This window comes from Homo sapiens, chromosome 2 (genome assembly GCF_000001405.40).
Source record: "Homo sapiens chromosome 2, GRCh38.p14 Primary Assembly".
In the NCBI taxonomy this organism is placed as follows: Eukaryota; Metazoa; Chordata; class Mammalia; order Primates; family Hominidae; genus Homo; species Homo sapiens.
This window is the reverse complement of record NC_000002.12, coordinates 489,976-517,173: the sequence shown is the minus strand read 5'-3', so window position 1 is coordinate 517,173 and position 27,198 is coordinate 489,976. Positions and strand designations below refer to the sequence as shown.

The window sequence follows — 27,198 nt, the reverse complement described above, 5'->3', positions numbered from 1 at the left end:
TGCCTTTGATTGCACTTCTGAGCTGAGAATCCAGGCTCTGAGGAGCACACACTCCAGAGTTAGATGTGGCAGCTGCTCCCAGCTACGCTCCATTCATGGGAAACTACACTTAGTCTGATTGTCTCTCTGAATAACTATGATATCACTGTGGAACTAGCTTGAAAAAAAATAGCAAAGGGAAATTTAGCAAAAGTGTGCGGTAGATGTGTTTTGAATTTTGGAGGAATTTTATGTTATAACTAGAAATTTCACTATACTCATTATACAAGCCAAATGCTAGAATGCAAGCATAGTTTTTAACAGAAATTTAAAGCCTGAAAACTAAATCACCACTTTATTTTTAATCTTTTCAATTGCTTGAAATTTTTCTGGAAACTATTAATACTTTACCTATAAAGAAAAGAAAATTTGAGTTTCATAAAACCAGGTTCAGAATGAGACAAACGAAGTATCTAGAGAACAGCAAAGGCCTGCTGTTGGTCTGCTCTAAACAATTTTTTGGTGTGTGAGTCAGATGCAACACCTACATAAGAAATCTTTTATTCAACAAACATAAAAGTCAGAATAAAGGAATCTATTTCTTGCAGAGATTCAGTTATATCCTTTGACAATTAAGTTAATACTTTAAACCCAAATTGGAAATGACTTCTTGCTTGAAATTTGCCAATGTCTGCTCTCTGTTCAACCCTTGCATTGTGAAGAGGTTGAAACCTGCTAACATTTGTATTATTTAGGTCCATGAGCAGTGATGCTGAGTAACATGTTTGCTGAGATGTGCATCACCCGCTCAGCCATGCCTGTCATCACTGCGTGTCCTTGAGTATCAGCGAGGAAGAAACCAGCTGCAGGGCAGAGCGGGCAGCCACAGACCCGCAGCGCCCAAGCTCCCTAGAATCATCCCCAGCAAGTGTTCAGGGAGGCAGAGGCCGGACAGAGAGGGACAGAAGCCAGCCTGCCCATCACTCATCCTGTCTTCTCCCCTGAACTGTTCAGCTGTCCCAGATAACACTTTCTCATTTTATGATGGGGTGGTAGACAAGATGACTCCAGGATTTTTCTCACTATAAGACTTGACCATTTTGGTTATTGCTTTTCTAATTGCAGTCCTGGAGTTAGTCATTTGTTCTTCCTCCAGCACAGAGGGTCTTTTCCTTCCAAAGTGGACATCATTGACAAGGCTGATCTTCATAGTGAAATATCAGAGACCTCAATCACCAGAGGTCAGACAATGTGCCCTGCACCACTCCAGCGGGCCGTGAGTTCCCTGCAGCCACAGACAGACTCACCTGTGCACCTCCAGTACTTTACGGGGTCTTGGCACATGATCTCTACTTAAGTGAGTTAATCTACCCTCCCTTGTATGGAACCATTTTACACACATAAGCATTTTCCAAATAAGTATCTGGTTTTTATTAAATAAAAACTGAATGCTATTATTTTCTTAGAAAGTGCTCACTGTTTTGTTTCTTTGTGATCACCAGCAAGAGAGTCATGAAGAGCATTTGAAAGGATAATCTGGCTTGGAGAGACTTGGAAGAAAATGAGTCCACCCAGCCTCCCACATTATTCATTATTTTCAGGCTCAGAAACTGGATATATGTGCTTAAAAATGCTTCCATATGTTTGGCAATATTAAGACTGACAGATGTCTATAGGGAATAACCTAAAACTTAGTACATATACCTGAAGATGGTTAAGATCTTGAGGACAGTGCAAATATTTAGGAAATTCTAATGTCTACACTAATAAATTATGCAGTATAATGCACAAAGTCAATGATGGATCAACTAAACTATATCTTTCAAAAAACTGGAAGTGGAAAAACTAATATTGGTAAATACTTTTAAATGCATGTTTTGAAATGCAGGCTATAGAGGAATAGGAAAGCCAGCACATTCCTGGTTTCTGCTCCACATGCAGAGAGCTTGGCCATCACCATTCACATCATCAAAGAAGAAGCTGAACAGAGGGTCGGCAGCTCTTCTTGGATCCAGCAGAAAATTGAGGTCACAGGGCACACTGCTGCCCCCAAACTGGAGAGACAGGCCGGCTGATGCAGAGAGCAGAGCTCACAGCAGCAGAAGCCAGAGGTGGCAGGAGCACTTACAGGGTGATCACCTAGCTCCTGGGACCAACAGTGGCTGAGTGTATTAGTCTGTTCTCATGCTACTAATAAAGACATAGCAGAACCTGGGTAATTTATAAAGGAAAGAGATTTAATTGACTTACAGTTTGTCAGGGCTGGAGAGGCCTCAGGAAACTTACAATCATGGCAGAAGGGGAAGCAAACATATCCTTCTTCACATAGTAGCAGCAAGGAGAAGTGCCGAGCAAAAGGGGGAAAAGTCCCTTATAAAACTGCCAGATCTCCAAGAATTCATTCACTATCACCGGAATGGCATGAAGGTAACTGCCCCATGATTAAATTACCTCCCACCAGGTCCCTCCTACCACACATGGGTATTATGGAAACTACAATCCAAGATGAGATTTTGGTGAGGACATGGCCAAACCATATTAGTGAGCTTGAAAGATAAAATCCCTTTTCTGACCACAACTGTCCTGAGATTGACCTCAAGGAGCCACACCAGGTTCTTTGGGTGAAGATCAGAGAAAAAAATCCCTTGTGCTTCCAGCAGGCACTGGGGGTCAGGGCTCAGAGCACTCTGTCTCACAAGGCCTCTGCCCTCCAGGGAAACGATTTCACCAGAGTCCAACCTACCGGGGCCACATCAGAACCAAGCCCACTGGGTGAAGAAAAACACCCAACTCCAAATCCCATGGGCTTTCATCACCTAAAAGGAGAGGGTGCAAGAAGCACTGGCAAAGACCACAATCTAAGGACAGAGGCTCATTGGATGATGGAGACCTAATCAGAGGTCATGAACTGCCTCCCCTCCCCACTTCTCAGCACTGTATCAACAGGGCTTTTGTATTGCAACAGGGGATTACAATGGAAAGAACTGCACACCTCAGACCATATTAACAAGTCTCTAAGGAAACTCAAAGACAAAAGGGGAGATAAAGACAAGGGCACTGGGGGAAACTTTAGCTTCTGACCCCTGCAGCTACAACAAACAGCAAGCACAGCCTCACTGACTCCTCAGCAGATCAGCATGCAGCCTGACACCAAAGGCCTATTTACCTCTGTTAGTTCAATCCAGTACATCATGTCTAGCTTTCCAAAAATTTCCAAAGTATGCTACAAGGCAAAAGAAACACAGCCAGAACAGACAAAGCAAGCATCAGAACCAGATTCAGATGCTACAAAGATTTCCAAATTATCGAATTAGGAATTTATTTATTTATTTATTTATTTATTTATTTATTTATTGGGACAGAGCCCTGCTGTGTCACCCAGGCTGGAATGCAGTGGCTCGATCTCAGCTCACTGCAACCTCCGCCTCCTGGGTGCAAGTGATTCTCTTGCCTCAGCCTCCCAAGTAGCTGGGATTACAGGTACACACCACTATGCCTGGCTAATTTTTTTGTACTTTTAGTAGAGACGGGGTTTCGCCATGTTGGCCAGGCTGGTCTCAAACTCCTGACCTCTGGTGATCTGCCCACCTCAGCCTCCCAAAGTGCTGGGATTACAGGCGTGAGCCACTGCACCCAGCCATCAAATTAGGAATTTAAAACTAGTATAATTAATATGCTAAGAACTCTAATGGAAAATGTAAGAATGGACAGGTGATATAACCAGAGGAATGGAAACTCAAAGAAAGAATCAAAAGGTAATGCTAGAAATTAAAAATAGTATAACAGAAATTAATGCCTTTGATGGGCTCATCAGAAGACTGGACATGGCCAATGAAAGAATCAGTTCACCTAAGGAGTCAATAAAAATTTCCCAAACTGAAAACCAAGGAGAAAAGAAAAATAAAAACAACAGAATGTTGAAGAAATATCGGACAGTTAAAAAAGCTGTAACATATGCATAATAGGAATACCAGAAGGGGAAGAGAGAGATGATTAAACAGAAGAAATGTTTGAAGTAATAATGGTTGGCTGAGAATTGTCCAAAGTTAATGACAGATACGAAACCACCCATATAGGAAGCTCAGAGGACACCAAGCAGGATAAATACCAAAAAACTAAACCCAAGCATATCATAATCAAACTTCAGAAAGCCAAAGACAACGTCTTGAAAGGATCCAGAGGGGGAACATCCACCTAACCTGGAGAGGAACAGGAGAAGGACAGCACCAGACTTCTCTTCACAAGACACACGAGCAAGGTGAATAATGATATTTAAAATGTTGAAAGAAAAAAAAACCTCATTAACCTAGAATTCTGGCCAATGAAATTATCCTTCAATAATGAAGAAATAAAGACTTTCTCGGGAAAACAACTATTTATGAAATTTTTGGCCAGCAGATCTGCACTGTGAAAAATGTTAAAAGTTCTTCGAAGAGAAAGAAGTTACATAATTCTGAATTTCAGATCTACATAATGTATGCATATTAGAGAAGGGACAGGTTAAAGGGATATTTTAGGGCAGAGGATCAATTTGGTATGATGTTGTAATGGTGGATACATGACATTACCCATTTGTCAAAACTCACACACAACAGAATAATGAACTCTAATACAAACGGTGAACATTATTTAATAATAATATATCAGTATTGATTCATCTAACTATAATGCATTTGCCACCAATATCAGATGTTAATAACAACAGAAGAAACTGGCTGGGCATGGTGGCTCACGCCTGTAATCCCAGCACTTTGGAAGGCCGAGGTGGGTGGATCACAAGGTCAGAAGATCGAGACCATCCTGGCTAACACGGTGAAACCCTGTCTCTACTAAAAACACAAAAAATTAGTTGGGCGTGGTGGCGGGCGCCTGTAGTCCTAGCTACTCTGGAGGCTGAGGCAGGAGAATGGTGTGAACCTGGGAGGCGGAGCTTGCAGTGTCCCGAGATCGTGCCACTGCACTCCAGCCTGGGCGACAAAGTGAGACTCAGTCTCAAAATAATAATAATAGAAGAAACTGTAACTAAGGCAGAGATTACAGGGGATATATGGGAGCTCTGTACTTTCTGCTCAGTTTTCTGTAAACATACCACTGGTCTGAAAACACAGTCGATAAATGTTTAAAAACCTAAATGGCAAAAATTCAGGGCATCTCAGCTTTTCCCCAGACTAATTTATATCACCCTTATCTCCCCACCAATTACTACTAGAGCTAATACTAATATTACTGCACCTTCCAGAGGAATAACTTATAGTCTAGCATTAATTTGTCTATCTCTACTCGTAATGTGTATGTATGTTTTTCTGTCTGCTTGCATGTAGACATGCACGTGTGTGTTTGAAAGAGGTTTAGGATGTGAGGAAAGTGAATTGTGTGACATGTCAGTGAACTCTTTCTTGAGAATAAACACAGGACAAGTTGATTTTTGTTATGGCAATGTGGAAACCCTTCATATTTTCTGTTGAATTATATTTGCAAGTCTCTGCTGTAAGGGGACTAGCCAAGGGGTTCTGGTTGAACATTTGGTGATTATTAGACTTTAGAAACTATATTATAAATTTGGCCTCATCACTTGTTGAGAATGACAGATGGGGAATCATTGCTATCTACATTGAACTACTACTAACTTTAATTTTTTTTTAACTTCAAAAATTGCATTTAAAAGCATAAAGCATGATTACACTCATAAAAGAATCCAAGCTGCTTCATCTACAACTTGGAGTCAAGGCTAATTAAGGATAATTAATCTCTTTTTAAAGAAATGAGGAAAATCTGGGTTGAGGAGCTTCTCAGACTGCAAGGTGAAACAGCCAAAGTGAAACACAGAAGTCAAAACACAATGAGTCATGTGAAGCACTCCCTCCATTCTTGCAAACAACAGACTTTTCAGGACTATTCCCAGGAGCTTCCTGACCCACAGCAGAAACCTTAGAACACTGTCTACAAAAGGCTTCTAGCCCGAAGGGAACACCATGGACTCACTCATCAGAGTGAAGCTTTCCAGATTAAGATGGAAGAAAGGCAGTAGTAGCCTCTGAACTCACATCTACCCTGCTTTGTTGTTTTGGTATTAAACTCCATCACAGGCCCATGGGATCCCATGAAACTCAGCATACAAGGACCCAAGGACCACATAGACCACCTGGATCACATGACAACAAGACACAGGAACACATGGACCACAAAACATACAGATAACAAGACCACAGGACCCCATGAAACTCAAAATGTGAGGACTCAAGAACCACATGCACCACATGACCACAATATACAGGAATACATGGACCACAAAATATGAAGATCACAAGACCATAGGACCTGATGAACCTTAGGATGCAAAAACCCCAGGAACACAGTTCTTGAAGAAACAAGGAACTCAAAACCTGAGGAACACATGTATCTCAGGACACCAGGGCCTAAGGACCACAAGGACCATGCAGACCTCCAAAGCACATGGGCCACAGACCACAAGACAACGTGGACAATAGAACTACAGGGACTCAGGACAACATGGATCACAGGACCCCAAGACCACTTGGATAGCGTGGACCACATAGACACAGGACCATACTGGCCACATGGACCACAGGACCACATGAGCAATAGGGCCTTAGGAATTCCAGGACCACATGGATCACATGAACCACATGGACCACTAAACACAGGACCACATCAACCACATATATCACAGGGCCACATCAACCACAGGAACCACAGGAATCATAGCACCACATGGACCACACAGACTGCAGGAGCACATGAACCATGGTAACACAGAATCATAGCACCACAGGACCACATGGACCACAGGATCATAGAACCAATGGATCAGAAGGACCACAGGACCACATGGGCAATAGGACCCCAGGAACCCCAAGACCGCAGGACAACAGAACCACAGGAAAGCATGGGTCACATGACCACGAGGACCCTAGGACTACATAGACAACATGAACCACAGGACAACATGGACCACTAGACACAGGACCACATCGACTGCAGTAATCACAGGAATTATGGCACCACAGGGACCACACAGACAAAGGGACCACATGGACCACAGGATCATTGACCAATGGACCACAAGGACCACATGGACCACAGAATCACAGCACCACTAAGTCACATGGAGCACATAGACCACAGGACCACAGAATCACAGCACCACATAAACCACATGGAACACATAGACCACAGGACCACATAAACCACATGGCCCATAGGAACCACACGGTCACAGGATTATAGGACTCCTAAACTCATCAACTCTGGACCCACAACAGTCACGAACTCTAAATGCTTCCTTTTTATTTAGACAAGGATTCCTTCATAACTAATTAAGCCTAAAAGAAACAATAAAGACCATTGGTCTTCCCTAGAAAAGGAAACTCCATTCCACTAGGTCATGCCAAAGTCCATGTTCTGAAAAATTCTGTTAAAAATGTCTGTGATCTTTCCCTGTTGCCCATTCTGGCCTTTGGTCAGTAGCAGCCTCAGGATGGTGAGGCCTGGATGCCAGTGCCCGTGGCACTTGATTGAGGTGTTTTTGCAAAGTACAGACGAAGCATTTGCCTGAGGTGCCTGTCCACTGTGAAAGCTCCCCAGGGGCAAGTGGAAGTTACTAGGATGGAAGCCTCCCTGCCACCCTGGGCATCCCCTCTGGGCCAGGCCTTATGGCAGAAATCTGTGTCTCAGTTGAAATTCATTAAGACAATAACTGGAGGACAAATGTTCCCCTCAGAATTCTTATAGGTGACAAATAGGAGACAAAGCCCCTCCTGGAGGCGCACTGAGCTACCTCAGGGCTGGATTGTCGTGACAGTCTGTGTGATCTTGCTGCGATTGTCCTCTTCAAACACAGCCCCCGCCTCAGGTTCCCACCCCACACCAGCCTTCTTCCTGCGTCCTTGGCAGCATCTGTATGGCCCCTTGAGGTGCCGAGCATGCTTGTTGTTCTCTGTAGCCCTGAAGTTCTCAGGGTGCAGTGGCTACACAACTCTGGATGGATGGAGACAAAGGAAGTGGTGAGTCCTTGTCCTTTCACAGTTGCAGAGAGAGAACAACTGGAAATCCTCATATAAATCACCTCTTTGCTTAATTGGAAAACTATTAAGGGCCTTCTAACGTATGTCTTCTTTGTACCGTAGAAAGCTTTTTAGTTTAATGGAATCTTCACATCAGACTCCTTAGGAAATCCACATTTCCTTCATCATCGGCTGAACTGGGAGTAACTGAGCTAATTCAGTTTTATTCATCACACACACACACACTCAGATGCTAATCACTTAATAATCACAAGATACTAAGAATATATAGGAATTAAAAAAAAAAAACCTGGCCTGAAAATTGCAGTCATGTAACACAGGAAAAACTAGGCACATGAGTTCAGTGAAAACCAATATATTTAAAGTAGAAGAGATGCTCAAACAAAACAAAGCCATAGCAATGGAGAAGAGGATGAGGTCTTGCGCACAGGGGCCAACCAGGACAGCGTTGGGAGGGAGGCATGTCTTCCTGGGGGCTCCTGGGACAGGAATCACATAGACCTCAGGACCTGGGTCTCTCTGTGTGAACCCAAGTCTGTGCTCACCCTATTGGCTCTGCTCTTTGCCTTTGGCCATGAACCCATTGGGCCCTTTTGCCCTTTGGCTTCCAGGCTTGAGAATTGGGTTCCCAATAGGGAGCCCTAGCAAGAAAACAGTGTGCAGAGAAATCGAGGCTGGAGTGGGTTTTTGCCTTCCCCTTTCAGTCATGCCAAAGATTGTGCAGCATCTGAGGCCTTGCCTAGGTTGGCTCTCGCCAGGCTGCCACTGTGCCCCACGTCCCTTCCTATCCCTTCTGATGAGGGTGGTGACTGCTCCCACTGTCTGTAATGCTGGGGTGTCTTGCCACCCCTTGGGGCCTCCTTGAGTGGCCCCATAACTCTGCCTATCCCCCACATTGAGCCCTCTCAGTTATGCTCCTCTGCATGCCCTCTGACTGCTAACGGCACAGGGCTGCATCTCTGTAGCAAGTAGATTCCAACACAAGGCAAGACTTGTCCTGGGAAGACTCAAGGGCAGAAAGAGAGCTAATGACAGAAATTCACAGGACCACAGACTTCAGTTCACAGCAAGAAAGGACGTTCTGAGAGCCATGCACAGTGGAATGGCTTGCCTGGCTCCGTGGCCTCCTTGACTCCAGGGTGCATAGGACTTTCCTGGAAATCTGCTTACAAAGCAGGTGGTCAAATTTTCAGCCCAAGAAACTGGAGTGGGGGCAGAGGACATGCATTTTGACAAGATCCCAGGTGGTCTGTAAGCATGTGGATTGAGGGTCCTAATTTGAGAAACTCTGAGCCAGAAGAGTTAAGCCACTTCACTGACCTACCCCATTGCATTGTGAGACAGGTTGTCCATGCTGTCCCTTCTAATGGTGAGATTCCAGGATTCCACAACCAAAGATCTTCTTTGGAAAGATATGTTTGCTTTGTGCTTGCAAAGCAGGCAGGAATCATGGGAAGACCTACAAAGTTCCAACCTTGTCTAGGTGAGGATGTCCCTCCCTGCCCTGGGTCAATGGGAATAAAACAAATCCCTCTCCTTCTGTTCTCTGTTTCTGGCCCTAACCAAGCCACAGGCCTCAGTTACTGTCAGCTGCATCTTAGGCCTTGCCCAGATTCCGCATAGTTATCAGATTGCCCACTGGTGTTCTTTGCTGCAATGAACTAGCAAAAGTATCTAAGAAAAACATCAAATTGACAAAATAAATACTTAGTTATTGTTCTCTAAGAAATGATGATAGTGTAATAATAAAATAATAGAATAAAGGTTTTCAGGACTTAGACTAAAAGAAAATCGTCAATTCACCTGTGGGTGTTTAACTGACCAATATCATACGAATTGTAGATAGCCCTCTTCAAATGGAACACCCATTAAAATTATCCAACATATTACGGAAGTTAGAGTAGAATTCCATGCTATCTGGGAGAAGAATTAAAGAGATGTTCTCAGCTCAGAGGAACATGTGACTGCTGGACCAACAGAGAACCTCTCTCCTGTCTGGTTCCCTCAGCATGCCATCTCCCTGGAGGCTGCATCCGTCCCTCTTTGATGTCTTCCATGATTGTAGTGGCCACACCGGAAGCATCCTTTCTTCTGCCACATCGCCAGCCCCCACAGGTTATGACGGATAAAGGCAATACACTTCATACCATTCAATAGTCAATTTTTTTTTGGTGTATCCAAATATGCTTTCCCTACTGCCTTGGGCTTCCAGGAAAGCTAGAGGGCTGGCTTACTCTGAACTTAAACTATAGGCATCATCACTTTGTGAGAGCCTAGCTTTCAGTTCTTAACACTCCCAGGCTGCCTGTCTTTGCTGACATGCATCATCAGATCTCCAGCAAAGACTGTACTTATAGGCTTTGATTCTGAAAGCCATGTGGTTCTACATCTGGGCCCCATGAGAATTCCTTCTAGCCGCTCTTCTAATTTTCTGGGGTCAGCATTGTCATATGGACACTGGCCATAGGTCGTCTCAGCTATTCCAAGGGGACGGAAAATTGGAGGGTTTTTGAGAGAGTCAAGACCTTTAAAGCATATCCTAATTCTAATTGCGCTGGAAATTTTCCAGTTTCCCAACAAATACAGCATGCGGAATGTGGACAATTTGCCATTCCTTAGAGCAAAACTGAGTTTCAACAACTGATTTATCATTGCCATTTTTAAAGAAGTATCACATGAAGCTTGTGAGAATCGAAACAGAACACTGAGACCAGCACACAGCAACAAAACAGGCCAAGAACAAAGAAAGAAAAATGTCCACAAAAGGGTGACAGAATACACAGGGCTGAGGTGGGTTCTCATGCTCTCAACCAAAATGAGTTAATGACCAAGAAAAGGCATTTTGATCTCTTTGCCATTAAAACAAAACAAAACAAAACAAAACAAAACACAACTTCTCTCTGAAATGAGCTCCTCCACTCCAGGCAGTGATTTGACCTGCTGGTGTGGTTATTGTTCCGAGGGATTGAGGCAACGTTCACTTTGCAAATGTTTAACAAAGACCTGTTACGGGTCAAGCTCTGACCTAGAGGCTAGGGGAAGGAGGAGACGCTGTGCACCCTGGGGTCTTTCCATCCCCTCGGAGGAAGCTGAGACTTAGGTCAAAGCTGAGCATGCCGGCAGGGCTGGCCCTGGGAGCAGCTGACAGTGCCACCCGCCGTGAGGACATGAATCTGTTTCTAAATTCTTTTTTTTCCTAATTTAATTATTTTTGCAAGTACACAGAGCACCTTTCATTCTACACAATAAGGAATTACAAAGATTTAATTTCAAGTTGATTTGGAGTTTTAAATATGACTTCTTGTATAGAAATTGTGGGAAAAGATACAACTAATTATCTTTAGCATGCCATAGAAAACAGCATCGTTAGGGAGGTGGACTCCACTAAGGATTCCACGTGATAATTCTACATTAGGGAGTAGGCAGTGTGCATAAATAAAGCTGTGCTAAAGCTTGAAAATGATCTCAAACTGCCTACACCTAAAAACGTCATTTTTCTCAAATTGGCTATACAAAAGCCCTTACAGTGAAGGGAGGGCCAGGAGGAAACATGTATTTCAAACTCCAGGCCTTCGTTTACCTGCCCGTGCAATTGGTGGGCACCCTTTGTGAAGGCTACACCAGGAGAAGTGGCGTTGGCAAGTTTCAGGGCCGCCGCCTGACACCAGAATCCAGGCTGGCTCCAGCATGATTATCTCAGGAGAAGAATCGACTCTCTAAAGTGAGGGGCAAGGTGCCACGACACTTCCAATTAGGTTGATATGATTTTCATTTGGTGATTTTTTTAGGTCACTTCATGAAAAATGTGACATTTTGAACTGAAAATAATTTGAAAAGATTTAAAGATGAAACAGGTAAAGATTAAAGTTCCAGGTTAACATGAATAGAATAATGATAAAACTTATAATTTGATTGTAGTAATGCTCTGAGCATTATTTTAGTGGTTCCTTATAAGAATCCTACGAAGTAGAGGCTTCCACAGATATTTAATAGAAGAAGTTGGCTCGGAAGTTGCGACTCCCAGGAGTGCCCAGTGACAAGGAGGCGTCACCCAAACCTAGTTCTTTTGTCCCTAAAGGCAGGGTGAATTTTTTTTTCTACACAGGACAGTCTCTTTGGGAATAAAGGATGAAAACATAGCATTTGTGAAGAAAAAAAAGAATACTTCTAAGAAAGTCGTAAGAGGCATATGAATGTGGAAGGAATTGAAAAAGAGAGACACTGAAAGTTCTGAGGTGAAAATTTAACTGAAGATTTACAGCCAAGAAGAAAGGGATAAACCCATCCCTGGTGACAATCCCAGAGGCTCGCAGAAGAGCCGGTCAGCACAGCCTCCTCCGGATAGGTTCCATCTGTCGGGGGCTCCCGGCCTCACATCTAGCACCCAGCACAATGGCAAGCAAGTAATAGGATCAAATGCTTGTTAAATAGATCAATGAATGCAAGAATTAATTCACTTCATGGCTTAATCACCACAGATTGTCCTAGATAGGGCTGGATAGGGCTTGACCATTTCAGCAAAACTCTTATAGTACAATTATGTTTCATTGAATTCTATGAAAATCCAATTAAATATGTTCGGATAACAATGAAAGAAATAAGGGAAGGCAGAAAGGGAGGAAGAAAGGAACAAAGGAATTAAGGGAGGAAGAAAGGAAGGGAGGGAGAGAAGGAAGCGGGGAAAGGAGGAAGGGAAGAAGGGAGGAGGGGAGGAAGGGAGGGAAGGAGGGAAGGAGGAAGGGAGAGAAGGAAGGAAAGGAGAGAAGGGAACAGGGAATGTGCCAGGCAGTTCTACCACCTATCACTCTTCCAATTAATCAATTTGTGTTCTGGAGTGAGTGCAGGATGGTAGGAAAAAACCTGTAATATATATAAAAGAACAGGCAAGACTAAGGCATATGAATTATAGAGACACGTTTTAGAGAATTGTAAAAGCATTGTGATAATTTAGAACTGGCCTTATCCTGGGCCCACGCTGAGTTAGGTCACTCGTGGTGGCAAATGCTGGTGTGTTTATCGGGCTGGGTGTGCGCCCAGGGACCTGGTGCTGCCATATTGTGAAATCATAACAGAGTCTTCCACACCAAGAAGATTTTAGGATTCAGTGATGCCAGGCAGCCATTTTTGCAGACCTGTTGGATTTCTTTCACATTTTACCTTTCGCTTATTTGTTACGTTATTTTCATTGTAAGTGTTTACGGCAGCCAGTGTTTCTGATCTCATGCGTCCTCTCCTCCCTTTCCCAGGCGGCGCTCCATGCGAGTTGTGGCCACCGCAGTACCCCAGCAAAGGCGGGGATCTGATGGGTCAGGTCTCGGCGCTGGACGGAAGGCTGCTGCTCTGGTTTGATCTGGTGGGGCAGGCCGGTGGGGCGGGTGGGATCTGGTGGGGCAGGTCTTGGCGCGAGACCAAAGGCTGCTGCTGTGGGATCTGCGGGTCTGGGCGCAGCTTTTACACGCGTGTTCCTCGGGGCCTCCGCAGGCAGTGGACTGTGTCCTTCACCAATGTTGACTGAAAACCAGTATGAGGTTCTAGGTTCAGCATGGGGGTCGCAACATGTCTGTAATCTTGCCAGCGTCTCCTAATCCAAATGCTTAGCAGGAAGCAGTGTTCTCCTTTTCTGAAGAAGGACAAATTCCTGAAAAAACGTGGCGCAGCCGCTGGCGCCGCCTCCCCCGCTGGCGCCACGAATTGGGCATCTCCACAGCCGCAGCGCCGCCTCAGCGCAGCCTCATTTCCGTCAAAGCTCGGTGAAAAGCTGTTTGCGTGTGTTGAGCCCAACCCGTGTATGAGCTAAATTGTTGAGGGAGAGTAGTCACTGGACAACATTTACTGAAAAGACCACATACGAATTATTTGTCATTGTATTAAATACACCACTCAGAGAATTCTGGCATGTCTCCCCTGCGTCAGTCATTTATGGAGAAGCTTGATTCCCGCGCCCCGTGATTCTGGCGTCCCTTGATTCCGGCACCCTGTGATTCCCGCGTCCCGTGATTCCCGCGTCCCGTGATTCCCGCGTCCCGTGATTCCCGCGTCCCGTGATTCCCGCGTCCCGTGATTCCTGCGTCCCGTGATTCCCGCGTCCTGTGATTCTGGCACCTTGATTCTCGCGCCGTGGTTGGATGTGTGGCTGTGCTACCCCGAGCGCCCCGAGCCAGCTCTTCCTCTTCAGACGCCCCTGAGATCCCCAGCCCTGTGGTGGGCGCCTTACCCAGTCTCCTGGCGCCACAGTGGCAAGGGCCTCCTGCCCACCGCCCCAAACTTTTGCCATTTTGTGCTGAAATACCATCAACTTCGCCTCCCCAGAGATCTATTCCAGAAAAACATGTGCTATTGTAAATAACACAGGAAAGACATTTTTTGAAAAAAATATAAATAAAACAATTCCTACCATGAAGGCCTCCTACTGTAAGTTTAATCATTAGAAGACATCATCAAAACAACAACAAACAAAACTTGTTCCTTAGCCGATTTTCCCTTTCTTGAACTGGACATTAGCATAGACATCCAAACAGCTGGTTTTAACTTTTGTTATTTTTCCCAACTCATTTCCTGTTGAATAGTAAACTGAATATTTTAAAGAAGAAGAAAAACAAGAAGCCTGACCAATGAATGTATTTAAAAACTAATTGGCTATTTAGACTATTTTAGCTTTTGGTACATGAATTTCCTTATGGCATTTTGTATATATATATCTCCAAAGCAAAGAAAAATAGTAAGTTCTGTGTTTTTGCAAATGAGAACACTGGTGAACACTTTGCACATGCCTGAATAACCAGATTGTTATGATCACCCATACCTATTGTACTTTGCTTCTCTGTAAATCTCAGAAGACTGAATCAGAATTAATAGAAGAAAACCTGAGACGTCATCTTGACCAGATTCCCAGTTCTCAAAGGGACCGTGCCCAATTCCTCCATAAACATGATGATCAGCACACGCACACACACACAATACACAGGCACACACACATGTGCACATGCACACACACACAATACACAGATACACATGCACACATACTGAAACAGTGACACACAGGGACACACAGATACACACACATACCTAATCACACACATGCAGATACACAGATGAACAGAAACACAAACACTTTTATGATTCCAAGGCCTGTTTATCAAACATCCATGGGTGGCCCTGAGATGCCTCTGAGGCAGGTGCAGTATAGACCCCAAGCCTGGGAGCCTGCAGGCAGTGTGCACACCAGGAGACCCCAGGTGGACGTGGACAACGCGGGACCATGCTGAATCCTAGATGCTGTAATCACAGGTGGCAGAGAGGATCTGGCATCTCAGCACCTGGTCTCCCGCCAGGCACTATGCTGCAGACCTCTATTTTATTCCCAAACCTCTATGTCCGTCTGTGGAGAAGGGACGTGGTGTTGAAATGCTGCTGTGACAGTGAATGTCCAGTTAGAAAGCGCTGTCTTCACCAGCCTCTGAGGGCAGGGAGGAGGGCTCCGAATTACCCCAGAAATTCAGTCACCAGTGCACTGGGGGAGGTATGTTCAGCAGACGTTGAAACCTGGAAACATAATTTTTTTCCATGACTCTGGGAATATGATTAATAATCAAATGAGTTCCTTCTACACATAAGACTTCAACTCTATCCCCGGGAATACTGTGGGAATTCAGCGAAGGGGAAAAGTACTTTGATTGTTTGAAAGCATCTGAGGAGCTGCAGTTCCCAGCACTTTGTCCATCTCCAGCCTGAGTTTAAGAAGGGGGACTTGTCAGGCTCTGAGCTTCACGCATCTTCCGGACATCTGACTCGGTTGTAGTTCCCTCCATGGCCACACAGCATCAGCTCTCTGGATAAAGGAAAAAGGTCTTCAGGGAAGCAAAAGCTCCATGACCTTTTGAAGTCCTTTGCAACTGAGGGAACTTAAACCTCTAAAGGGGACATTATTGGAACAGAACCAGCCACAATCAAAAACTACCATCTCCAGAGAAAATAGACTTTTTTTTTGCACTAAGAATACATCTCTGGTTTAAACAGGTTGGACAATTGTGAGGCATTCTTCACTGAGACCAGAGTAGTTTATTTCTATTTCGGCTCAATAGCAAAATGCTACAAAGTAGCAAAGTGATCCCACCTTGTCGTACCAGTATTTTAGAAATGGGACTACAAAAGTAATCTGTGGGTGACTTTCTTAGGAAAATTAGGATTTTATATCTTATATTACGAACGCTTATTTATAGATTTTATTTCCATAAGATTGTAACTCCTTGAGGGTTTGAAACTTGCTTTGACCAGCTCTGAATTTCTAGAATCTGGCATTATGCTAAAACATGAAGGGCAGCTTCAGTAACTGTGCCACACATACAGGAGTCATTCTTCTTGGCTGACCAGGGTGTTTTCCATTATGTTCTTTGCAAGATTGCAAGTATCAGACTTAATAAAAGTGGGATACTGCTGGCTTAGGCAAAGACTGGCATGGGTGGAAGAGGAAGCCCCCGTCACAGCCCCGCTCCCCTCCACTAGGCAGCTGGCCCTCAGGGGTCAGGTCAGCCTCCAAATTCAGTCCATTGTTTTCTGGCCAGTGACCATGGGCACATTATTTAAGCTCTCTGTGCCCCAAGTGTCCAGCTATGATGAAAAGGTGACAGAGTAGCTCACAGGATTCAGGGGACAAGAAGAAAGGGTGAGCAAGGCTTGGCGAAGATTGGATGCAGCCATGGCCCTTGGCACAGCAGCAGCCCTAAAATCCACCCACAATGTGAACGGCTTTTGTGTTTGTTTTTGACGGAGTTTCGCTTTTGTCGCCTATGCTGGAGTGCAATGGTGCAGTCTCGGCTCACTGCAACCTCTGCCTCCTGGGTTCAAGCAATTCTCCTGCCTCAACCTCCCGAGTAGCTGGGATTACAGGCATCCGCCACCAAGCCCGGCTAATTTTTGTAATTTTAATGGAGATGGGGTTTCATCATGTTGGCCAGGCTGGTCTCAAACTCCTAACTTTAGGTGATCTGCCCGCCTCAACCTCCCAAAGTGCTGGGATTACAGATGTGAGCCAACGCGCCTGCCTGTCAACAGCTTTAAATGCCATTGTTATTGCGTCAGTCCCCACACATCACACACATAGCAAACTCAACCCGCCAACATCCTGAGCATCAATCAGGTGAACCCGTTGGTGCTGACCCTGTGAGGCATTTGGAGATAAAGATAAGTGTAACACAGGAAACCTGGTCGGTCACAGGGATAAATGCCAGTGCTGGAGGTGGACACATATGTGGGGCACCAAGGGGGGTCCTGCACAGGCAGCCAGTAGATGGTGCATGGCGACTCTAGTGCTTGAGCAGGGCTTAAACGCTGAGGCATCTAAGCAGGTGTAGAAGAGCCAGGTAAGGGCAGTTGTGCCAGAGGAAACAATGCAAGGGAACAGTATAGGGCAGGAAAGCTGAGTTTTTGGTTGTTTCATTACGACATGTTCAGCTGTAGAATGCCCAGGTAATAATAACTACTATTCTTAATGCCTAGTATGAGCCATGCAAGTCTCACACTCTCTTCTTTAATCCTGATGACAACCTTAAGCAAGGGTATTTATTTTTATTTTTATCTTTCAGATGAGTTAAATCAGGTGCAGAGAGAGTAAAGGATATCTTTAAGCAAAGGTCAAGCGTGGACTCCCACCTGGCTTTGCTTGCTCTCTCCTCTGTCTACCCAAATCCTCTGCAGGGTCCAGTCCTTCCCCTACAACCTCCCATCTGCTGGCAGTGGAGATCCCCTCCTGAGTCTCCTCCCATTGGTGCAGAATAAGTCTACACTTGGTCATAACTCATGTGCAGATGGATTGATTTTTATTTCGTGTATAAAGTGTACACGTATAGGATTAAATGCTGACTCTGGAACATGGCAAGTTACGTAAACTTTAGGAGTCTCTGTTTAGTTTTTTTCCATGATGTTAATTCCACAAGGCTTTCATAAGGAGCGTATGGACACATACGGCACACCTGCACGCACCCACACATGCTCACACACACAAATGCAGACATGTACACTCATGCACGCACCCACAGATGCTCACACACACAAATGCAGACATGTACACACATGCATGCACCCACGCATGCTCACACACACACATGCAGACATGTACACACATGCATGCACCCACACATGCTCACACACACAAATGCCAACATGTACATGCATGCACGCACCCACACATGTTCACACACAGGCACACGTGCATGCACGTACACAAGTGTGCATCACACACACACATGCAGGCACACACATGCCCATGCACTTTAATGCCGTCAGTCAACACCAGGCCATTTCTCTCTTCTTCCCCAGGCAAAATAACTTGATGATTAGCCAATTAGCAGAAATTGAAGACCTAGCAGGATTATCTCTGGCTTAATTTGACCTATAGGAATTTGTCCCTACACCTTGTGTGAACACACCTGGCTTTTAGAAAGGATTTGCTGAGGGAACAAGCTCAGCCTGACACCCCTTCCTGTTGCCCTGGCATGGTTTCCAGGTCTTCCTTCTCGTGAGCCCCAGGCCGACGGAGCAGCAGCAGCTGAAATTGTGATCAGATGACAGAACTGCTAGGTGAACTGACCTGGGAACATCTTTCTTATTATGCAGTTGTCAGGTTGAGCAATTTCAGGACCCAAGTCTTCCAACACAGGCCTCATTAGTTGGAGAGTTTGCCTCATGGAACTACTTAAAAAAACACATGCGAGCTGCTGTGAGCCCCCAAGTAGGTATCACATCCAGCCACACTCCCCGAGTTACTGCAGCCTTTCTGGACGTGGGGCAGCCCTCTGCAAGCAGATCTGATGGTTAATTGGGGGATTGTGGCCATAGGCACCATTGAGCCAGGGGTTTGCACATGAGCCTTCGTCAAGTCAAGAAGCAACATTTTCATTTCACAGAGCGGCTGCCCCATGGATGGACCTCAGAGACTGTGGGCATTTGGTACCCAGATGTTTGGCAATTTTCCCATTTACAAGGAAAAAAAAAAAACAGATGAAAGCCTCTCTAAGGAAAATGTCCAGCCTTATTACAGAAAAAGATGAGCATTTTTCTTAGCAAGCTCATCATTAGAAAGAATTTTTGAAAGCAGCTGTGTGCCCATAGAATGAAGCTCAATGGAATCCTGTTTCTCCACAGATCACAGCAGCGGGGCTGACGGGCCAAGTCAGTCTCCTGATCCCTCTCCTCTCAAATCCTCACTGAAACAAGCTCCAGATCTAATCTTGTTGCTCATAATTCATGAATAATATTATGGCTTTGAGTTCGAATTCTTCTTGCCAAATCTTTGCTTACCTTGTTTCCTCATGCAAATGCTGATGACTCACGTTTGGAACCTTGTGCTTATGGGATGCCAGTGTAGGTGTGAAGCAGGACCCTGAGCCACGCGGAGCAGGAGGATGGACGTCCATCAGGGGAAGCGGGGGGCGCGAGAAGAGGCAGCCACACTTTGAAAATATCAAACCTGATGAAGGCAGGCAGTGGTTTTTTAAAAATTGACAAAACTCCACTTTCATCAACGTTCATTGAAACAGGAAGCAGGTGGTGCAAGCCACAGCCAGAAACCGGGGGCTCCTGTGTGATTTCACCTCTCATTAAAACTATACTCCATCACCTCTGCAAAAAAAAGGTGGGTGCTCTTCTCGCTATTAAAAATCAGAAAGTCAACTTACGGAATTCTTTAAGAGGTGGCAAAGACGAAACCTCTGTTTTGTAAAATCCTTTAGTCCTGCGCCCCCTCCCTGGCCCCGTGTCCTGAGTCCGGCCCTCGGCATCTCTCCATGCTCTCACTCTTGGCAAGGCCACGCTCATCCACACAGTTCACTTCTAATTCTAAGAACTTGACACACTGACGTGAACCAAACGGAGGAACCTGTCTCCCCTGACTGAACTGGCACCAACCAAAAGAGACACAAAGAATTTGACCGATACAAAAATGTAGGTGCATTAGCGACACGCACGCACAAGCAGGAATATAAACCAAGAAAGGGCACAGTGGGGAGGGCGGCTTCTGAGAGGCTGCGGGATGGAGGGGCTATGAGGACAGACAGGCTGGGACGTGATCTCAAGGCACAAGGTCAAGGGGCTGCCAGTGCTGCTGGGAGTCAGAAACGCGAGTTCGGAGCCAGCACGAGGGGTCAGGACTGAAGACGTCCTTCTGGGATCAGCAGAGCTCGGGTGAGGCCAGACGCTGGGCAGGAGAAGAGGGGAAGCGTGGGTCTGAGCGCCGGGCCTCAAACGCTACCCCGGGAGGCCAGGACCACGACGAGACGCGGGGCAGGAGATGCATGAATCGGGGCAGGCAGGACCGTTTCCAGGGCAGGGCGTCCACCCGTCAGATAAACACCGAAGTTTCCTGTGGGATTTGGCATCATGCGGCTCTTCATGAAACTGACAAGAGCAGTTTCAGGGGAGCTCTGGGGTCAAAGGCTCCTGCGAAGGGCAGGAGAGAGAATAGGGGCAGCATTTTTTCCTTGGTGCAGCTTTTGCCATAAGCAGCAGGAAAACGGGGAGTGGTTGGATAAAAAGCAAAAATTTTATTTTTCTTTTAAAGACAAGAAACATAATGGTAAGTTTGTGGATGGGAATCAAGCAGGAAGGAGAAACTGAAGATTCAGGAAACAGGGAGCCTGTTGACATCCCCAAGCAGATGGGGGGTGGTTTGCTGCCCTGGGCATGGAAGGTGGGGATGTGGAGGAGGAGCGGGTACAGGGGAGGGCTGCGTCTGGGGAAGTCCTCTCAGGAGGCTGTGATTTCTTCAGTGAAAACAGAAGCCAGTCCTCCGCTGAGAGCGGGGATGGGGAAGAGCTGGAGGCCTGGAGAGAGGAGAGAAGGCCTGAACTCTTCTTCTGGGAGACCGGAGGAAGCCGGTTTCCCCCTGCAAGGTGCTGCCCACGGTCCTGGGCGTCAACAGCCGCTCGGCCTCCTGTAGCTTCTCACCATCGATGCTCAGGATGCTCAGGTGACTGGGAACAGTCGCAAAATAGAGAGAGTGAATTTCCTCAGGAGGAGGATTAGCCATCCGGATGTGCGAGGGGCTGAGGGCGCAGGAAGGAAAGCAGTGCTGAGAGGCGTTCAACCGGGTGGGGAGGGTGGCAAGGTCATGGTAGCCGAGACATGGGGGAAGGGACCAGGGATAGGAGGCCCAGGACTCCATGTGGAGTGGCCTCTGGGGCCGGGCATCGCCAGGGGCCTCTGTCTTGCTTCCCCACCTTCTGCCCTCCAGCCTGGGGATCCCGGTGGCTGCCGCCACCTCCTGCCACCTCTGCCATCACTTTTCACGGACCCCCAGCTCCAGCCTTTCAGTTCCTGTGTCCGTGTGGGACGGTGCAATAGTTCCTGTGTCCGCGTGGGACGGTGCCATAGTTCCTGTGTCCGCGTGGGACGGTGCCATAGTTCCTGTGTCCGCGTGGGACGGTGCCATAGTTCCTGTGTCCGCGTGGGACGGTGCCATAGTTCCTGTGTCCGCGTGGGACGGTGCCATAGTTCCTGTGTCCGCGTGGGACGGTGCCATAGTTCCTGTGTCCGCGTGGGACGGTGCCATAGTTCCTGTGTCCGCGTGGGACGGTGCCATAGTTCCTGTGTCCGCGTGGGACGGTGCCATAGTTCCTGTGTCCGCGTGGGACGGTGCCATAGTTCCTGTGTCCGCGTGGGACGGTGCCATAGTTCCTGTGTCCGCGTGGGACGGTGCCATAGTTCCTGTGTCCGCGTGGGACGGTGCCATAGTTCCTGTGTCCGCGTGGGACGGTGCCATAGTTCCTGTGTCCGCGTGGGACGGTGCCATAGTTCCTGTGTCCGCGTGGGACGGTGCCATAGTTCCTGTGTCCGCGTGGGACGGTGCCATAGTTCCTGTGTCCGCGTGGGACGGTGCCATAGTTCCTGTGTCCGCGTGGGACGGTGCCATAGTTCCTGTGTCCGCGTGGGACGGTGGAATAGTTCCTGTGTCCGCGTGGGACGGTGGAATAGTTCCTGTGTCTGTATGGGATGGTGTAATAGTTCCTGTGTCCGTGTGGGATGGTAGAATAGTTCCTGTGTCCGTGTGGGATGGTATAATAATCCTCACAATCTTCCTGGTTAACATTCTCACCCTTTGCTTTTTCCGCGTGAGAACTTTCACGTACCACGTGTTTAACCAGTTTTTAAATGTTCCACATTGTATTTATCTGAAATGCAATCATTGCTCTAGGGTTTCTTGAGGCCCAGTGTGAGATATCAGCATTTTAATTCCCATGAAGAGAAAAGCCCTCCTTCTCTGAGAAAGAGGGAGAGGTGGAGGAAGAGGCGAGGAGAAGAGAAAGGGGGAGCAGGGACGGAGGAGGCCGGAAGGCCGGTGCACCCCCGTCCAGCACACACAGCGGCTCCCTGGTTAATTCAGGACACGCTGCTGCCAGGGATCAATTATCATCACAGCTACTTTAACATTTATTGATTCTTTATAAAGCAACTGACTGACTCAAGAAACATAAAAGTTTTACCAACTTAATGTTCCAGAGATGAAACCATATCACCCCAGGATGAAATTCAGGCATAGAGAAGCTTGTCTTGGCCACGTTACCCGGGAGGCCACCAGGCATGCCATGAAACTTTGTTGTCATTTAAAAGAATGTAAATCAGAGCACCCCTGCGAGGCACATGCTGTGCTGGGGGAAGGAAATATAAGGCAGGTAGTATTCCTGCCCTCAGAGGATACAGTATCTCATTAATTTCCCATTATTGTAAGTGTAGTCAAAGAATCTCCTCATGCCAACAGTGTATGAGCATTCCTTTTTCTCCACAACCTCGCCACCATCTGTTAGTTTTTGACTTTTTAATAATAGCCATTGTGATTGGTGATAGATGGTATCTCATTATGGTTTTGATTGGAAGTGTTTTGATTGGAGTGTGGCGATTCCTCAAAGACCTAAACACAGAACTACCATTCAACCCAGCAATCCCATTACTGGATATATATCCAAAGAAATATTAATCATTCTATTGTAAAGACATACACATGAGTACGTTCATTGCAGCACTATTCACAATAGCAAAGACATGCAATTAACCTAAATGCCCATCAATGGTAGACTGGGTAAAGAAAATGTGGTACATATGCACCATGGAATACTCTACAGCCATAAAAAGAGAATGAGATCATGTCCTTTGCAGGGACATAGATGGAGCTGGAGGCTATTATCCTCAGCAAACTAATGCAGGAACAGAAAACCAAACACTGCATGTTCTCACTTATAAGTGAGAGCTAAGTGATGAAAACACACGGACACATAGAGGGGAACAACACACACTGGAGCCTATTGGAGGTTGGAGGGTGGGAGGAGGGAGAGGATCAGGAAAAATAATTAATGGGTAATAGGCTCAATACCTGGGTGATGAAATAACCAGTACAACAAACCTCCATGATACATGTTTATTTATGTAACAAACCCTATCCCTGAACTGAAAATAACAGTTAAAAAAAAAAAAAAAAAGAATGTCCTTGGGTCACTCTGGTAAGCAATGGTGCCTTCCGTGCTGAGCCCAAGCTACGTGGCCTCCCATTGGTGACCCAGGCTCTCTGGGGCCTTTCCTACCACTGCCCCTTGTCTTTCCTGAACTCTTATCCTGATGTGATGATGACATTGCCTCTGGGTCTGAGCTCCGTCCTGACGTGATGATGTCATTGCCTCTGGGTCTGAGCTCTATCCTGACATGATGATGTCATTGCCTCTGGGTCTGAGCCTTACTTCAGCAGTTCCTTCTCTAACCCTGTAATGGCTTCTCTTTGCCTAGACTTTAAATGCCCCTCTTCAGAAAGGATCAATCTATCATGTTCTTTGCTTCAACCTCTATAATTGCCCCTGGATGACTCATCTTGGGATGAATAATATTATTAAATTTTTAGCTCAGGCCTCCCTCCTGAGTCCCGCTCTGTGCAGCAGTCACTGCGTATTTGCGCATTCATCATTGTCATCATCACCACTGACGTCAGCACCATCACTGACACTTTACACGGCTTAAAGCATTTTAAGTTTTAAACTCATGTGTGGCCATTACCTCATTGTATCCACCTAAAACTTCCATGAGTTAGATACTCTTTCCACTTGACTTTTCCAATCAGCAAATGTTTATTTAGGGTGCTCTGTGATGGGGATGGAAAATATTAAATGACTATCCTGGGACACAGGGGATTCAATCTAGTTGAGAAGACAAACACACTTGCAGATAATTTTAATAGAGTGAAATATGTAGAAAGAGATTTCCAAAATGTTAGAACGTGGGTCCAGTGCAACTTGGTAGCAGGATACAAGGTGAGCCCTTCTGGGGACAAGCCTTAAAGCAATCAGGCATTACCCACGTGTGTAAACGGAGAAAGAAGTCATTCCACACAGATGCCAGCTCAGCGGCTTGGGGTGAGAAATGCCAAGTCGGGGCATTCTAGGTCGTCTGAAGTTCACAGAACATAAAGTTCAAGGCATGGACGGCCATTTGTGGGGCTGGACAGAGGAGCATGGGGTATGTCAGGAAAGTTCGTGCTGCTAGGCAGAGGAACTGCAGCTTGTTGGCAGGTGAAGGGAGCCTGTTTAGCTGTGTCCAGCAACAACTTACGTGGTCCTGCTTGTGTTCCAGGTGAAGCGTCTGGCCGCCGAGCAGAGGGTGAGTTTTATCAGAACAAACCTGAAAGCCTAGAGTGCAGACAGAGGCTGCTGTGTAGCAGGAGATGATATCAGCTTGAGCCTGGGAGAGGGTGGAGGCAGCAAGGAGCGGGCGTCCCTGAGGCTCAGGAAGTGAGGCAGGAGGCTGTGATGACTGCACCGCAGAAGGTCCAGGGTGTGATGGGGAGCAGGGATGCAGGTGCTGAGAAGCCTCGACCGCACCGTGCGGGAGCACCAAGAGGTGCCCTGTGGGACGTCCGCTGGAAACTGGTCACTCATATGGGAGCCTCAGGGAGATGCCCAAGCCAGAATGAGGACATGAGAGTCCTCGGAGCAGGGCTGATGACTGAAACCCAGAGAGCTACAAGAGACATCAAAATCATTCACAGATGCAGCACAAAATCTAGAGTTAGGAAATCAGAAACCAGGTAAAAAATGGGCTTAATGAGGTTAAAAACAGAGGCAGGCATAAAGATATCGGAAGTGTCATTTCAGTGAGACAAATGGTATGAGCAAAGGTGGAAAGGGAAAAACCCAAGGAATGTCTGGGAGATAATAAGAAATTTAGACTGGATTAAAGATCTATAAAATATTATAAGGTAAAATATAAAGAATAATTAAACAGGACTTGATTAGACTTTACTATGTGAAAAGAGTAAACTGGTTTTAAGGAAATTAGTTACTTGTTCAAATTAGCATTTTAGACATAAAATATCCTGCACACATAGAAAATATATTTCAGAAGGGGAAGGGCAGAAGTCAGAACCCAATAAGGAGCCACGAGTGGAGGGGATCAGGTAGACGGGATCCACATCTGCAGAATCAGGGAATTAACTCAGATCCCACGGCCTCTCTCTCTATAGATACATGATAGAGAGATAGATAGATAGATATTTTAGATGGATATTTTAGATAGATGATAAGATAGATAGATGGATAGATAAATAGACAAGTAGATGATAGATAATACAGAAAGATTGATAGATGATTGATAGATGATAGATAGATGAAAGATAAATAGATAACAGTAGGCATATTACAGATGGATGACTGAATGGATGGGTGGATGGATACATACACAGACATGAATATAAATGTGAATGCAGCTATAAATATCAATAATGGAATGCGATACTGGCCTATGTATAATATATGTTATTTATTTGGAATAAACATGCAGTTGTTGCTGCTTCACATTCGTAGAATCAAGACCTGCTCATTCTTTCCTCGGGGGATCCATCCAGCAATGACATCATCTCATGCTGCCACAAGGACCCCAAGTCTGGGCTGCTGGGGACCAGCCACGCTCCCCACTGCTCATTCCTTCATCCTAGAGACATTCTGACTCTCCTCCGACTGCGCTGTGCACAGGTGTGACAAGCTCTTTTACATCTCAGTCTGCACAACTTCAGGCACTTAGCAGATTGATATGCATCCAACAAATATTGATTGAATATCTGCTAAATACCCAGTAATGTTTCATGAGTGATTGGGTGAATAAAGGAATGCTGGTTCCTTCTGGCCATATTAACTCCTGCACAATACTAAGAAAAATAAATTGCACTAGCTGTGGAATAATGTGAATCCCAATGTCATCTATTGAAATATTACCTGACTATTAAGAGGTATTTATTTTTGTATCTTTTCTAGCAAAGTAAATAAAATTCTTAATACAGCATATCCCCTTATTCACGGGGGGTATGTTCCAAGACCCCCGGTGGATGCCTGAAACTATGGATAATACCAGATCCTACATATACCGTGTGTTTCGTATGCATTCTTACATATGATAAAGTTTAATTTCCAAATCTGGCACCGTAAGAGCTTAATAACAATAACCAATAGTAAAATAGAATTATCGTGACAATGTGCTGTAATGAAAGCCATGTGACTCTGGCCTTCCTCTCTCTCAGCATATCCTATTGCACTGTGCTCACCCTTCTTCGTGGGGTGACATAAGGGGTTGTGATGCCCACGTGACGAGGTTCAGTGCGGTGAGTATTGCTGGCACTGTGACCTGGCTTGGCTGCAGCTGTCTCCCAAGGAGGCACAGAAGGAGGGTCCCTGCTTCCATCATACAGCCCTGGCGGTGCTGGTGGCTGACGTCAGGAGCAGGCGACGTGGATACCAGGTAGGAGCACAGACCGTGGGTCTGCTGGAGATGGGAGATCACGACCCGGGCAGAATGGAGCGAGATTTCATCATGCTACTCAGAACAGCACACAACTTAAAACTCGTGAATTGTTTATTTCTGGAATTTTTTATTTAATATTTTCCAACTGAACACAGAAGGGGAAACTGGATAAGAGGGGACGACTATAACTGCAAAGCCACCGTACACACTCAGCTGCAGCTCCTCAGCACCCGGGGGGCCACTGAGCTACATGGTAACCACCACGCAGCAGCCTCTTTAATTTGCACAGGCATGTGTGTGCACACACACATGCACACACAGATGCGCATACACACACGTGCACACACGGATCCACACGTGCCCACGCACACACACAGACACATACACACACATGCGCACACACACATTGTCT

General features: G+C 46.0%; 2 long non-coding RNA genes across 3 annotated transcripts, besides 2 other annotated features; one reads left to right on the top strand and one right to left on the bottom strand.

Moving 5' to 3' along the window:
- Nucleotides 2,679–3,261: an enhancer, noted in NCBI's record as "NANOG hESC enhancer chr2:513913-514495 (GRCh37/hg19 assembly coordinates)". NCBI's record gives its function as "activates a minimal SCP1, AML or CMV promoter by ChIP-STARR-seq in primed H9 embryonic stem cells {active_cell/tissue: H9 hESC(primed)}" and the evidence as "EXISTENCE:reporter gene assay evidence [ECO:0000049][PMID:30033119]".
- Nucleotides 20,538–21,361, bottom strand: LOC100996637 (uncharacterized). The gene is made up of 2 exons (NR_168371.1): nucleotides 21,236–21,361; nucleotides 20,538–20,989 (listed from the first exon to the last, which is right to left on the bottom strand). It is a non-coding gene; the product is annotated as an uncharacterized LOC100996637 (long non-coding RNA).
- Nucleotides 20,913–22,112: an enhancer, noted in NCBI's record as "MED14-independent group 3 enhancer chr2:495062-496261 (GRCh37/hg19 assembly coordinates)". NCBI's record gives its function as "activates an origin of replication core promoter dependent on BRD2, BRD4, P300/CBP and CDK7 cofactors, and independent of MED14, by STARR-seq in HCT116 cells {active_cell/tissue: HCT116}" and the evidence as "EXISTENCE:reporter gene assay evidence [ECO:0000049][PMID:35650434]".
- LINC01874 (long intergenic non-protein coding RNA 1874) lies at nucleotides 24,519–26,227 on the top strand. 2 transcript variants are annotated; one of them, NR_146437.1, is made up of 2 exons: nucleotides 24,519–24,653; nucleotides 25,856–26,227. It is a non-coding gene; the product is annotated as a long intergenic non-protein coding RNA 1874 (long non-coding RNA). The 2 variants fall into 2 exon arrangements; NR_146436.1 differs by having other exon boundaries at nucleotides 25,833–26,227.
- Nucleotides 26,228–27,198: the final 971 nt, after the last annotated feature.